The 14,535-nt window shown below is 45.8% G+C and overlaps 1 protein-coding gene and 3 pseudogenes across 10 annotated transcripts in view, besides 2 other annotated features; all 4 read right to left on the bottom strand.

Moving 5' to 3' along the window:
• GARIN1A (golgi associated RAB2 interactor 1A) overlaps positions 1-14,535 on the bottom strand; it is a 37,538-nt gene that overhangs the window by 5,874 nt on the left and 17,129 nt on the right. For 7 of the 10 annotated variants that reach the window (XR_007060032.1, XR_007060031.1, XR_007060033.1 and 4 more), the window contains one exon: positions 1,031-1,415. The exons of 1 other annotated variant lie outside the window; for it this stretch is intronic. The gene's annotated coding sequence lies outside the window, so the exon portion shown is untranslated. Of the gene's footprint in view, positions 1-1,030; positions 1,416-13,878; positions 14,485-14,535 lie in introns of those variants that run through there. 2 more of the 10 variants (XR_007060025.1, XR_007060026.1) reach the window with 2 other exon arrangements.
• Positions 632-1,831: an enhancer, noted in NCBI's record as "MED14-independent group 3 enhancer chr7:128341516-128342715 (GRCh37/hg19 assembly coordinates)". NCBI's record gives its function as "activates an origin of replication core promoter dependent on BRD2, BRD4, P300/CBP and CDK7 cofactors, and independent of MED14, by STARR-seq in HCT116 cells {active_cell/tissue: HCT116}" and the evidence as "EXISTENCE:reporter gene assay evidence [ECO:0000049][PMID:35650434]".
• Positions 5,549-5,583, bottom strand: RNA5SP243 (RNA, 5S ribosomal pseudogene 243; annotated as a pseudogene).
• RNA5SP242 (RNA, 5S ribosomal pseudogene 242) lies at positions 5,737-5,854 on the bottom strand (annotated as a pseudogene).
• Positions 9,212-9,712: an enhancer, noted in NCBI's record as "H3K4me1 hESC enhancer chr7:128333635-128334135 (GRCh37/hg19 assembly coordinates)". NCBI's record gives its function as "activates a minimal SCP1, AML or CMV promoter by ChIP-STARR-seq in naive H9 embryonic stem cells {active_cell/tissue: H9 hESC(naive)}" and the evidence as "EXISTENCE:reporter gene assay evidence [ECO:0000049][PMID:30033119]".
• Positions 9,369-9,843, bottom strand: IMP3P2 (IMP3 pseudogene 2; annotated as a pseudogene).

Genomic DNA, 14,535 nt, shown 5'->3' with positions numbered 1-14,535 from the left:
CCCAAAATGTGGTCTCTCTTAATAAACATTCCATGTGTACCTGAAAAGAAAGTGCATTGTACTACTATTGAATAGCATGTTCAATAAATGCCAATTAAGTCTAGTTGTTTGATAGTGTTGTTTACATTTTCTGTATTTTTACTGATTTTTATGGCCTATTTTATCAACTTACTGAGAGAAGAATATTGAAGACTTGATCTATAATTGTGAACTTGTCTTTTATTTTTCTGTTCTAACAATTTTTGTCTCAAGTATTTTGAAGCTCTATTTTTACATGCTTGCACATTCAAAACTATTTTATCTTTTTGGAGAATTGATCCCTTTATCACTATATAATGCCCTCCTTATGGCTGCTAATATTCCTTGCCTGGGAGTCTGCTTCATCTGATATTAAAATAGCTACTCCAGCTTTCTTTTGGTGTGCGTTACATAGCTTTCTCTGTCCTTTTACTTTTAACCTTTCTGTCTTTACATTTTTAAAAAAGATTTCTTGTAGATTGCATACAGTTTGGTCCATTTTTAAAGCTGATCTGACAATCTCTGACTTTTAACTGATGTGTTTAGACTGACTGTCCACATTTACTGTGATTATTACTGTAGCTGCATTAACATCTACCATATTGATCACTGTTTTCTATTTGTTCCATCTGTTCTCTGCATCTTTCCTTCATTTATTCTGCCTTTTGGGGGGGTTATTGATCATTTTTTATGATTCAATTTTATCATCTCTATTATCTTATACATATATCTCATATTTATAATGTATAAAAACATATTTTCAAGAAATTTTAGTGGTTGCCCTAATAGTCATAATATGCTTCTACAGTTAACTGAAATCCAACTGCAAATAACATTATACTGCTTTGTGTGTAGTGTAAGGATCTTACAACAGGTCTTTCCAATATCTCCCTCCTGTCTTTTCTGATATTGTTGTCATACAGTTTACTTTTATATATGTTACAAACCTATAATATATTGCCACTATTTTTGCTTTACCTTTTAGAGAAACTAAAATTTTTTTAAAAATTGATTCTGTCTTATCTTCTTTATTCCATTTCCAGTGTGCTTCATTTCTTTGTGCAGATTCAAGTTTCAGTCTGCTATCACATTCCTTCTGCTTGGAGAATATTCTTTAACATTTCTTGTAGAGCTGGTCTGCTGGCAATGCATTCCTTCAGTTTTCATTTGTCTGGGAAAGGTTTTTTACCTCTTTTGTATTGTGAAGGATATTTTCACTGAGTATAGAATTTTGGATTGCCAGAGATTTTTGTCTTGATTTGCTTCATTTTCACTTTAAAGAAGGTCAGACCATTTTCTTTTGGCTTCTGTGGTTTCTGATGAGAAGTTTACTGTAATTCTTATTTTTGTGTAGGATATAATAAATTCCTCTTCAAAGCCTTAAGCCTGTTAACTTCCTTTAAAATTCAAGAGGGAGAAAATTGTTAAGTACAATGAGTTCTGAGTTCCTCTCCAAAGAACCAATGTATCAGTATGTTCAGCTCCCCTGTTCTTTGTTCTCTGTTTTAAACTTTAATTTCCTCGTTCTTTACGTCTCCTTGCCCCTAGTTTCAGTGAACAACCCCCTCCTAGCCTCTATCACCTGCTCTGTTTTTAGTCACCTGCTTTGTCCTTAGTCATCCTTAGTCACCTGCTCTGCAACCATCCCTCCTGCCAAAACTACTCACCCTGCCACTCTGGCTCATACCTTCTCGCTCTTTAAAATAGCCAATCAGAATTAGCTTAGACTGTGCGATCCAATCCCAGCCAATAGGGGAAAGACACAGCAGTAGGGACAAGCTACATTAGGAATAAGACCCCCTTCCCTTCCCTTCCCTTCCCTTCCCTCCCCTCCCCTCCCCTCCCCTTCCCCTCTCCTCCCCTTCCCTTCCCCTTCCCCTCCCCTCCCCTCTCCCTCCCCTTCCCCTCCCCTCCCCTTCCCCTCCCCTCCCCCTCCCCTCCCCTCCCCCTCCCCTATAGATGTACCCTTCTATAGAAGTAAACTGCCTTGCTGAGAAAACTTTTGCCTGAGTGCTATTTTCACTTGGTGGAAGCGAGCATTTACTTCTAACATTTGTTTCCCTCTATGGAATACAGTTGACCCTGGAACAACATGGGGCTGAACTTTGAGGGTCCACTTACACCTGGATTTTAAAAATACACTCAGTTTACTCTCCATATGGGTGGGTTCCACGTCCAGAACCAAATGCATTATGTGAAATATGGTACTGGCTGCATGTGAAGCCCGTCTAGATGGAGGGCTCACATTTCCTATCAGTTGGTTCCACCAGGACTTAGGACTGTGTAGATTTGGTATCTGTGGGGGAGCCAAGCCCCTGTGGATATTGAGGGACAACTGTGTTTCTTTCTTCTCTTGCTCCTTCAAGATGTCTTCTTTTTGTTTTGTTTTCAGCAGTAGGAACTTAAAATGTGTAGGTAGTGCATCGTGTGTGTGTGTGCTCATGTTAGTACATCCTGCTTTCTGCTCTCTGAGCTTCTTGGATCTGAGGTTTGATGGCTGTCATGAATTCTGAGAAATTCTTGGCCATTATTTCCTCAAATATTTCTTCTATCTCATTTCTTCCCTTCTCCTGGGATTCCAGCTATGTATGTATGCATGTTTCAAGCTCATATTTTAATATTGATTTTAACATCTAAATAAAATGGCAGCAAATAGAATCTATCTTGTATTAAAAGAATAATAAAACCTTACTAAGGCCGGGCACCGTGGCTCACTCCTGTAATCCCAGCACTTGGGGAGGCTGAGGTGAGCAGATCACCTGAGGTCAGGTGTTTGAGACCAGCCTGGCCAACATAGTGAAACCCCATCTCTACTAAAAATACAAAATTAGCCACGTGTGGTGGTGCATGCCTGTAATCTGAGCTACTTGGGAGGCTGAGGCAGGAGAATGGCTTGAACCCTGGTGGCACAGGTTGCAGTGAGCTGAGATCGTGCCACTGCACTGCAGCCTGGGTGACAGAGAGAGACTCCGTTTCAAAAAAAAAAAAAACAAAATACAAAACAAAACAAAACAAACCTTACTAAATGTCAGTACTAAAGAAAGCAAGAATAATTGAAGATTACAAATTATATAACTACAATTCACATGCTAATTAGTCAAGAGGAAAATAGCCTATGATGCACCACTGCACTCCAGCCTGGGTGACAGGAGAGACCCCATTTCAAAAAGAGAAAGGAAAACAAAAGTATAAAGAAAGCTTGAAAGTAAAAGAATGAAAGAGAAATACACTATGTAAGTACTAACAAAAGAAAGCTGGTGAGCTATATTAATGTTAGTCAAATGGACTTTAAACCAAAAACTGTTGCTAAAAAGACAAAGGACCACTGTGGAATGATAAAACGTTCAATTCACCAGGAACATAAAAAAAAATAAAACTCAAAAATATAATAGTCTCAAGCTATATAAAGCGAAATTGACAGAACTGCATATGGACAAAGTAATAATCACAGAAGGTGATTTTAATGCCTTTCTGTAATTGATATAGCATGCAGACCAGATCAGTAAGGATATAGAATATTTAAACATGATTAACAAACTTGATTTAATAGACCATAGGCAGAGAACACTACACCCAACAATTGCAGAATATGCTTTAATTTTAAGTACATAGGGAAATTTATAAGTAAAAAATGGCCAGATTATGAGCAATAAAGCAAGTTTCAGCAAATTTTAATCACTGAATTGCATATAGCAATATTCATATCTGGATCGCAATGCACTTAAGCTATAAATCAAACGAAAAATCACTAGGCTGTGGGATTCAGTGAGATTCAGACATCAAAGTGATTATAAATCAGGAGAGTGCAAGCATCCCCGAAAATCTTCAGGCATGACAGGAGTAGCCTAGAGGCTTGAGTCACTTCATTTAGATAATAAAAGAAAGAGTGACCTTAGAAGGTTACAGAACTTGACACCCTGAGATTACACAAGAACAAATGAATTGTTAAATAAGAAGCAGTTGAAGTGCTTGTTTCAATGAAGTTGGTTGTTTTTGGTGGTGGGGGGGGGGGGGCAGCAGGTATGGACAGACAGGCCCCAAAATTACTTTAGTTCTGTATTATTGGAATCTTTATGAACAATATTTTTGTAATACATATTTAAAATTTTTTATTAAAAATTCATTTAAATGTTCATTAAGTTTAATTCAGTTGGTGCCTTGTTAAATATAAGAGACAAAGAGTTAGAGATGACTATAAGGACTTGAACCTGGCTGCCCTGGAATACTATAGTGATAAGGACAGAAACCAGGACTTCAGTAGCAAGAGCCCTCACGAGAAGTCAATAAGTTAGCTGACACAGGATGTTCCCCTATTCCCTGACATGACCATGGTAGGGAACCTCCAGGGCTCAGCTGGCTGGAGCAGAGGCTATATAATGAGGGGCATTGGCCGGGCGCGGTGGCTCACGCCTGTAATCCCAACACTTTGAGAGACTGAGGGGGGCGGATCACTTGAGGTCAGGAGTTCGAGACCAGCCTGCCCCCCAACACAGCAAAACCCCGTCTCTACCAAAAACACAAAAATTAGCCAAGTGTGGTGGCAGCTACTTGGGAGGCTGAGGCAGAAGAATTGCTTGACCTCAGTAGGAAGAGGTTGCAGTGAGCCAAGATCGGGCCACTGCACTCCAGTCTAGGCGGCAGAGTGAGACTCCATCTCTAAATAAATAAATAAAATCAAACAAATACAAATGAGGGAGATTTGGAACCTGATTTTATGGACAGAACAGGTATCTAGGCAGGAACCCTCCCTCCCACAGACAGCCCAGAAGAGATTGAAGATTATAGGACCTAGCTGGAGTCGGGGTGGCATGGGTTAAGGAGGGGCAGGAGAGACTCTGAGGCGTGGGTGATGGCATGGCTGGGATTGAACCAGGGAGCAGGAGAGGCTGCCCAGGACTCGCTGACCTGAGGGCTGAGGAGAAGGTGTGGGAAGAGCAGAGCAGAGGAGCCTAGAGAAGCAGCCCCAGTGTGGGGTGTGGGCAAGAGAAGGCAGAGATGGTGCAGGAGCTGTCTAAGTGCCACCAAAGTCAACAGAGAAGCACTGGGGAGGTCAACACTCCTCCAGTGTTGTGGTTCTCAACCCTGTCAGACCCAAGTCCTCTTTTTACGACAAATATTTTGTCACACCGTTTCACCAGCCTGAAATAAAATTAATAATGATTGTAACCTACCTATACATACAAATTTTAAAAATTGATATCCTGCCCCAACTGTAATATACAAGGAAAATATAAAACAATGCATAAGTCAATATGTAAATGCTTGTGCACGACTTCATTCGAAGCCATGAAATAGAATCAGAAGCTTGTACCCAGAATGCAGTAGTTACAAAAATAGACCCATAAAGGTGTATTGAATTTACTACTCCAAAACAGTAAAGATCCACTACAGATTGGCAAATGGGGCTCAAAATAGTCAGTCGGGGTGGGGTGGCGTTATTGTGAATCAATGAAATGCTAGGGTTAGTCCGCTCCGCCAGGGGGCTGGGAGAGGCACAGCCAAGCCGGTGGGGTCCTAAATGCGGCCACATCTTAGCTTCCGAGATCAGACGAGATCGGGCGCGTTCAGGGTGGTATGGCAGTGGCGCCTGGTGCTGCAGTGGCGGACCCCCACCAGGAGGTCCCGGGCTGCGACGGAGTAAAAGGGGGAGCAGAGTTAGGGGGCGGTTGAAAAGCGCGGCGACAAAAGGGGGAAAGAGAGAGGGAGCGGGAAGCCAAAAACCTACAGCACCCGGTATTTCCAGGCGATCTCCCATCCAAGTACTAACCAGGCCCGACCCTGCTTAGCTTCCGAGATGAGACCAGATCGGGCGCGTTCAGGGTGCGTAGATGCCGGCAGTGGCGCCGGGCTGCCCCAAGAACCCCGCCCAGCCACGCCCTCAGAGTTGTCCGCTCTGCTTACATGGCCGGGTGAAGAAATTGAGGTCTTGAGGCTGGCTGTGATTCACGGGACCACTGGCAATGACTCCAGCAGTCTCTGGTTACTTGGCGCCCATTTCCTTGGCTTGATCTGGGGAGACCTGTAGGGAGAATTCTGGACCCAGGAGAGCTGCCCTGCAGGAGCCGCCTGTCTTTTCCTGCTGGCTTTACCCTTCCCTCCAAGCCCCACTCAGAGTGAATCCCAACTAAAACCAAGGTTGTGTAGGGGATCTGAACCCCACTTATTAAATAGGTTTTACTGTCCTAGGAGCAACTTTGTAATGATTTTCCAAACTGTGAACAACTTTTGGTTAAGCACCAAGAACAAACAAACAAAACACACACACAAACCCCAAAGTACCATCTTCCCTTGATTTACATGATGGTTAACTTCCTGGAAAATTCTGTGTATATTAAAATTGGGTGAGTGGGTTGGGGGAGTTAGGGTCTAGACTCAAGTAGTTGTAAACATGTTCTTCACCTGCCAGAATGGTCAGAGTGGCATAAGAAGATCATTATTTATTCTCTGTAGGGCTTCCAGCATCATGGCCCTCAACTGCCAGAATGCCGTTAGTGCCCTCCAGCCATGGTGACTCCCCAAACACCCCATCATTTAAGAACTTCCAAACACCTTCTGTGGTGGAGTTCTGCCCACTGGGACTCATTGACCTAGAATCCTTTTTCTTTTTTTTGAGACAGGGTCTTGTTCTATTGCCCAGGAGGCTGGTTTTGAACTCCTGACCTCGAGTGATCCTCCTGCCTCAGCCTCCCAGAGTGCTAGGATTATAGGCGTGAGCCACCACACCTGGCCTGACTTAGAATGTTAGACCTGAAAAAAGTTAATAATCTTGTTACACATCTCAGTCCAGACAAAAAACTGTGTTGACAGAAAGACTAGAGAAAGTTGATACAAAGACATCTAAAATGGCCAAGAGGACATAGAGATTATGGGACAGATTAGAAAAATGAGACACAGAGGGGCAGTGGGCAGTTTCAAAACACAATGGACAAAAAGGTGTATAGAAGTTCCACAGAAGCAGCCAGGCACAGGGGCTCACGCTTGTAATTCCAGCAACTTGGGAGGCTGAGGCAGGAGGATCACTTTGAGCCCAGGAGTTCGAGACCAGCTTGGGCAATATAGCAAGACCTCACCTCTACAAATAATAATATTTTTAAAAATTAGCCAGGCATCGTTGCTCACCTGCAGTCCCAGCTACGTAGGAGGCTGAGGTGGGAGAATAGCTGCAGCCCAGGCATTCAAGACTGCAGTGAGCCATGATTGTGCCACTGCACTCCAGCCTGGGTGATAGAGTGAGACCTTGTCAAAAAAAAAAAAAAAAAAAAAAAAGGAAGTTAGGAAGGCAGGGAGGGAGGAAGGGAGGGAAATTCCACACAAGCATCTACACTTCCTTGGGAATGTCTTAAAACCTGAAAAATATTATTTTGCACAATGTGTAGTATAGGTATGGAATTTATTCTACTGGAGGAAAAGGAAATAAATAAAATAATATATGGCTGGGCATGGTGGCTCACACCTGTAATCTCAACACTTTGGGAGGCCGAGGCGGACAGATCACTTGAGGCCAGGTGTTCAAGACCAGCTTGGCCAACATGATGAAACCCTGTCTCTACAAAAGAATCTACAAAAATTAGCCAGGCATGGTGGCCCACACCTGTAATCACAGCTACTGGGATGGCTGAGGCATAAGAATCACTTGAACCTGGGAGGACGAGGCTGCAGTGAGGCGAGATCACACCACCGCACTCCAGCCTGGGCAACAGAGCAAGACTCCCGTCTCAAAGAAAAAAAATAAAAATAAAATTTAAAAATGTTCAGGTGGACTTGGGCAGTGGTGTAATCTATACTTCTCCTTGTGGTGACCATGAAGATGCTGTATTCAGACCTCCAGCTGCAGGGAGACCCCATTCCGGGGAGATGCAGATTCCTCTAACGTGCACTGAATTTAAGGGTTCATTGTCAGTCTGCTGAAACTTTCTTGGAACTGTGCTGCAGCCTGAGACTCTCCTACCCAGTCCTCCTTGATTTCCCACTGGTCAAATCCAACCAAAGCCGGACAGCATGCGCCTCCCTTGATACAGTCCATAGAGGTTCCCAGCCTCTGGGGCAGAGAGCAGGATGGTGGAGGGTGGACAGTGGCTTGGCCTGGCCTGGGGTGGGATGGGAGCAGGAGCTTAGAGAAGATACCCAGCGTATTACCAAAGACTTGGTTTGGCCTGCAAAGATAGTAACATCTTTTTCTTTAAAGGTTAGACATAGTGAATAGAGTTCCTTAAGCCCTTGTTGATTGGCTTCTCATTGTTTGCAGCTAAACGTGAGACTGGTATAGACCTTAAAGCAAGAAGGCAACTTGCTATAGAGATAATGTCAGTACACAAAGACCAACGGAACTAGGAAGAAAGGAGTCCAGAAAAGAGCTGAGCAAAGCAAATTTCAGTCTTTAGTGAAGAAGGCTGGAAGTTCAGCCTTCAGAACTCCATGCATGATATTCACAGTTGAGTGACTATATTTATGCCTAAATTAACTGCCTTGCAAAATATATTTAGTCTTCATTTCAGTTTGTGAGTTTAGTCATTCTCCACAAACCCTTTTCCTGTGCTTATAACCTCCCAAAGTATTGTTATATATAGATGCATGGACTGGGTGGACTGAATTCTTATGCTCAGAGAGGAAAAATTCTTGTGACCAGTACCCCTTATAGAATTGTCCTATCAAAGTTTACTTACATTATCATGGGTTATATGTTACACGTGGACTAAAGTCCATGTGCTGGTTTTTTTCTTTCTTTCTTTCTTTTTTTTTTTGAGACAGAGTCTCACTCTCTTGCCCAGGCTGGAGTCCAGTGGCACAATCTCGACTCACTGCAACCTCTACCTCCCGGGTTCAAGCAATTGTCCCTGCCTCAGCCTCCCGAGTAGTTGGGATTACAGGCACCCACCACCATGCCTGGCTAATTTTTGTATTTTTTAGTAGAGACGGGGTTTCACCATGTTGGCTAGGCTAGTCTTGAACTCCTGACCTCAAGTGATCCGCCCGCCTCAGCCTCCCAAAGTGCTGGGATTACAGGCGTGAGCCACCATGCTCGGCCAGAGTTCTTGCTTTTACACTAAAAAGTTTCCAACACAAGAAGCTAACAATTCTACAGTGCAGCACCAAACCACTTTTCACTGTCTCCCAAGGCACAGTCATTTAATAATCAGTAGTCCAAGTACTAAGAATACTAAGAAAATTTCCTTGAAAACAGGCACCACGCCCTCTCCCCTCCTTGGCTCTGTGCATGGCCTGCCATTGAGGAACCTAAGAAACTACAACCTGCTGACACTCTTGTGGGGAGCGCCCTTATAGAATCTCCAGCATTGGTTGTCGTATCTGTAAAAGACAGGCAGCCGTGGAGACTAGGAGACCAGCTAGGCTTCCAGATCGAAGTCATTGCACTCCCCGTTGTATGATGGCATGTGTTGCTTGATCTTGGATGAGCCGACCCAGGTGACAAAGTCCTCCATGCGGCATGTGACAAAGAAAGGTGGAGTCGGTAACCACATCCAGGGCCTACAAGCACATGGCTTTGCTCCATGAAGGCCCTGCAGCCTGAGGAGAATGGTAGGGAGGAGGCAGCAGCGACAACGACAAGGACAAGGCCTGGACAAAGCCCTGACAATGTCGCAGAGTTCGAGCAAGCCATGTGTGGGCACCAGGCCCAGAGCATACAGCTTGTGCAGCAGTGTTTGGGCAGCTCTGGCATGCAAGGCTCCGCTGGCTGCAGCACGGGTCGGCCTCCCTCTGCAGCCAGGGAGGCAGCCCGTGGAGGCTGTGGTCCGTGACCTCCCATTTCAGGAAGTCCACCTGCTCCAGCAGCTTCTGCTCATGGAACTTAAGCTTCAGCACCACGATGACTACAGACAGAGTGGCAGGACCCCAAAACACCACATTCCTCTTGCATCCAGATATGGCCCTTGAACGGAGTGAGAGGAGGGATGGAGGTCACAGACATTTCTTTCCTTCCTTGTCCAAGGCAGTGTACTTAATTTGGAGACTTTAGAAAGATTATAAAAGCAACTTAGAATACTCTAACTGTGACTATTTCTTTGCATGTAATGGATATATGGTGTGTTTCTGGCTGCTGTTGCAATTATTAACACCACAAAACAATGTTTTCTTTGGACATAATTTAAAAATTCAGTGATAGTTTACTAAAAGAAAATTATCTGTATCCCCAATGGGGAAATAAATCGATTTGTTCTAAATCAGGCAGGAATCAGAGACAGAGCAAAATCCAGAACCGCCTTCTCTTAGACTATCTGTAGATTGTGGTAATTCTGGTGGTTTCAAGTTACAGCTTCTGTAAATGGCCTCAGCCTTAATAACTCTAAATATTCATTTTAAATTATGAAGCTTTACCACTCTCAGTGATTGGAACCACTTTTGAAGCCATGGTCTTGGATTTCTCGAGATGAGCCCCTTGTGTTTTGTTTTCTCTAAATTGATGACCTGTGTTTCTGGGAGGTCACTAATGAACCCAGAACCACGCGTTTCTATACATTCATGCTCCCAGCTTCTCTGCTTCCCTGCCGGCTGCCTCACCTACAACAGTAAAGCCCTAATTAACCCGCTGCTTATTTTTCTCAAGACTTACAAAGGCATTTATGAAGCTTCCATATAATTTCCACCACATCTTTTAAGAGGGTCCATTTGGGTGTTATTCCTTGAGGACATTTTCTCTTTTCTCTGAATTCCATGTCAGAAACTTTAAGATGCATTTTTACATTGTCTTGGGGATTGTTTTTGCAGATGCCATGTCCTGGTGGAGCATAATTAACTCCGGATAACAATGTTTTGTTTCTTTTCTCTTTTAAATGGTGTGTGTATTGGCCATTAGAAATTTCACCAATCCGTGTGGTGTTTTCATCTAAGAAATAGATTCTGAGAAATCAACTTCAAGGATGAGCCCAGTCAGCAAGGGCTGTTGTTTCTTCCCTCATTTTGAAGGAGAAACAATGTGGAGCAGCCACAGCTGGCTATGGCAGAAAGGGATTTATTTAACAAGAAATAGACACTTTAACTGGGTCAGTCTAGTAGGACCCAGGCACTGGCAGGTACACACATATGGCTGGCACGTTTCCCTACGCAGCTTCCATGTTTCTGGGCACAGAACCACATCAATTAGACTTCATGGGTGTACACGTAGAAAACATGCAGCCAACCCAAGCCGAAGGGAATTTATTGGAAGACTATTGGGGAGCTCTTCATACCAACTGAAGGTTAAAAGAACCAGGCATGGAGAATAGGCCAGAACCAAAAAGCAGTAAGCTGGAGGGAAGCCCAGCGACTGTCTCATGGCCGGGACTGCCTGGCCAGGATGGTGGCCCCACTGCGACAACGCCTGCATGGAGATGAGTGATGTTCCTGCTCACGTTACACAATTCAGGAAGGGGGCATCAAGCTAGCTAAGTCCATACCAGGGATCTGAAGGATGAAGGGAGGGAGTGGTTACTGGATACAGGAGAGTCTAGTAGAGGAAGCCACCACGAGAGGAGCAGTTTTGTTACCGGAAAGGGGTCCCGATCCAGACCCCAAGAGAGGGTTCTTGGACCTGGTACAAGAAGAACTCAGGGTCAGTCCATAAAGTGAAAGCAAGTTTATTAGAGAATAGCAGCCCTTTCGCATGCTAATGCATTATAATGAGCATATAATGAGCAGTGGGGACGACCAGAGGTCCCTTTTATCACCATCTTAGTGTTGGTGGGTCTTGGCCAGTGGTGTCTTTGTGACCTGTATCTTGTGCCAACCTCTTATCTCATCCTTTGACTAAGAATGCCTAGCCTCCTAGGAATGGAGCCCAGTAGGTCTCAGCCTTATTTTACCCAGCCCCCATTCAAGATGGAGTTGCTCTGGTTCAAATACTTCTGACAGTTTCCCTCTGTTAACAGCCTACCTTATGTCACCACAAGGGAGGAAATAGTTGTCCTGACCCCATTCTCCTCATCCTCTCTGATCTCCTGCCTGGGTTTCCCACTGGCCAAACCCACCTGGAAACCAGACGTGATGAGCTCTTAGATGTAGATCAGCTTGGAGAACATGCAGGAACCAAGGGAATTCTGGGGCACAGAACTTCCAGCCATGGAAGGGAAGGGTTTAATCTTCACCTTTTTTCCCTTCCCCTTTCCCCCATCCCCCAAATTGAGCTTCAACCATCCTCTGCTTTGATTCAATCTATATTCGATGTGTACAGTATTATGAATAGTCAAAGATATAGTACATACTTGAATTATATTTCTTTTTTTGTACAACTTCTTCCTCTCAGAGTTAATATTTATATTATTTTTTGTTTGCTTGGCTTAATAGTCCTATTCCTAACACACCCCTAAACTTTGCCATAAGCGTAAGTCTCTCAGTGCATTCAAACACATCAGGTATTCCATCAATTTGATCTTTGCGGAGATGTATTTAGCAGAGTCCTCTCTCCTGCTCCAGTAAGAGCTGACTGCTTTCTGGGGCTGCTGTTCTCCTGTCATTCTGGACTCTCTCTTCATCTCTCTTCACCTGGATATTGCCTTCACTTTTTTCCTACATTGAACCCACCACTTTCCTGGAGCCGTGTTTTTCTGAGTTGACTTCATTTTAATTGCGTACATCCTCTAGGAGTTTCTTAAGGAAGAGTTGTATGAAAAATTGCATAGAACATGTGGAAAAAGATTTTTTAAAAATAAAAAATAATTTTTAATTGCATGTATGAAGTTTGGAGATTTTAATACCTAAGGGTGAAAGTGATTTCACCAGGTGCACAAAAATCATTCCACCAACTGAAAACTGAACTGCGGCTGCCATTTTTGTCTCCTCCTACCATTAGGAGAGCATGGTGTTATGTGTAGAAGGGGGTTTTGGAGTTGTTAGAGTGGATTGACCGTTATTATTATTATTATTTATTTATTTATTTTTATTGATCATTCTTGGGTGTTTCTCACAGAGGGGGATTTGGCAGGGTCATAGGACAATAGTAGAGGGAAGGTCAGCAGATAAACAAGTGAACAAAGGTCTGGTTTTCCTAGGCAGAGGACCCTGCGGCCTTCCGCAGTGTTTGTGTCCCTGAGTACTTGAGATTAGGGAGTGGTGATGACTCTTAACGAGCATGCTGCCTTCAAGCATCTGTTTAACAAAGCACATCTTGCACTGCCCTTAATCCATTTAACCCTGAGTGGACACAGCACATGTTTCAGAGAGCATGGGGTTGGGGGTAAGGTCATAGATCAACAGCATCCCAAGGCAGAAGAATTTTTCTTAGTACAGAACAAAATGAAGTCTCCCATGTCTACTTCTTTCTGCACAGACACAGCAACAATCTGATTTCTCTAACTTTTCCCCACCTTTCCCCCTTTTCTATTCCACAAAACCGCCATCGTCATCATGGCCCGTTCTCAATGAGCTGTTGGGTACACCTCCCAGACGGGGTGGTGGCCGGGCAGAGGGGCTCCTCACTTCCTAGTAGGGGCGGCCGGGCAGAGGTGCCCCCCACCTCCCGGACGGGGCGGCTGGCTGGGCGGGGGCTGACCCCCCACCTCCCTCCCGGACGGGGTGGCTGGCCGGCGGGGGCTGACCCCCACCTCCCTCCCGGACGGGGTGGCTGCCGGGCGGGGACGCTCCTCACTTCCCAGACGGGGCGGCTGTCGGGCGGAGGGGCTCCTCACTTCCCAGACGGGGTGGCTGCCGGGCGGAGGGGCTCCTCACTTCTCAGACGGGGCGGCTGCCGGGCGGAGGGGCTCCTCACTTCTCAGACGGGGCGGCTGCCGGGCGGAGGGGCTCCTCACTTCTCAGACGGGGCGGCTGCCGGGCGGAGGGGCTCCTCACTTCTCAGATGGGGCGGCCAGGCAGAGACGCTCCTCACCTCCCAGTCGGGGTCACGGCCGGGCAGAGGCGCTCCTCACATCCCAGACGGGGCAGAGGCGCTCCCCACATCTCAGACGATGGGCGGCCGGGCAGAGATGCTCCTCAGTTCCTAGATGGGATGGCGGCCGGTAAGAGGTGCTCCTCACTTCCCAGACTGGGCAGCCGGGCAGAGGGGCTCCTCGCATCCCAGACGATGGGCGGCTAGGCAGAGACGCTTCTCACTTCCCAGACGGGGTGGCGGCTGGGCAGAAGCTGCAATCTCGGCACTTTGGAAGGCCAAGGTAGGCGGCTGGGAGGTGGAGGTTGTAGCGAGCCGAGATCACGCCACTGCACTCCAGCCTGGGCAACATTGAGCACTGAGTGAACAAGACTCCATCTGCAATCCCGGCACCTCGGGAGGCTGAGGCTGGCGGATCACTCGAGGTTAGGAGCTGGAGACCAGCCCGGCCAACACAGCGAAACCCCGTCTCCACCAAAAAAATACGAAAACCAGTCAGGCGTGGTGGCGCGCGCCTGCAATCGCAGGCACTCGGCAGGCTGAGGCAGGAGAATCAGGCAGGGAGGTTGCAGTGAGCAGAGATGGCGGCAGCACAGTCCAGCTTCGGCTCGGCATCAGAGGGAGACGGTGGAAAGAGAGGGAGAGGGAGACTGTGGGGAGAGGGAGGGGGGAGGGGGAGGGGGAGGGGAGGGGGAGGGGGG

This window comes from Homo sapiens, chromosome 7 (assembly GCF_000001405.40).
Source record: "Homo sapiens chromosome 7, GRCh38.p14 Primary Assembly".
In the NCBI taxonomy this organism is placed as follows: domain Eukaryota; kingdom Metazoa; phylum Chordata; class Mammalia; order Primates; family Hominidae; genus Homo; species Homo sapiens.
Note: the sequence above shows the minus strand (reverse complement) of the source record. Positions and strands in the feature narration are given on the sequence as shown.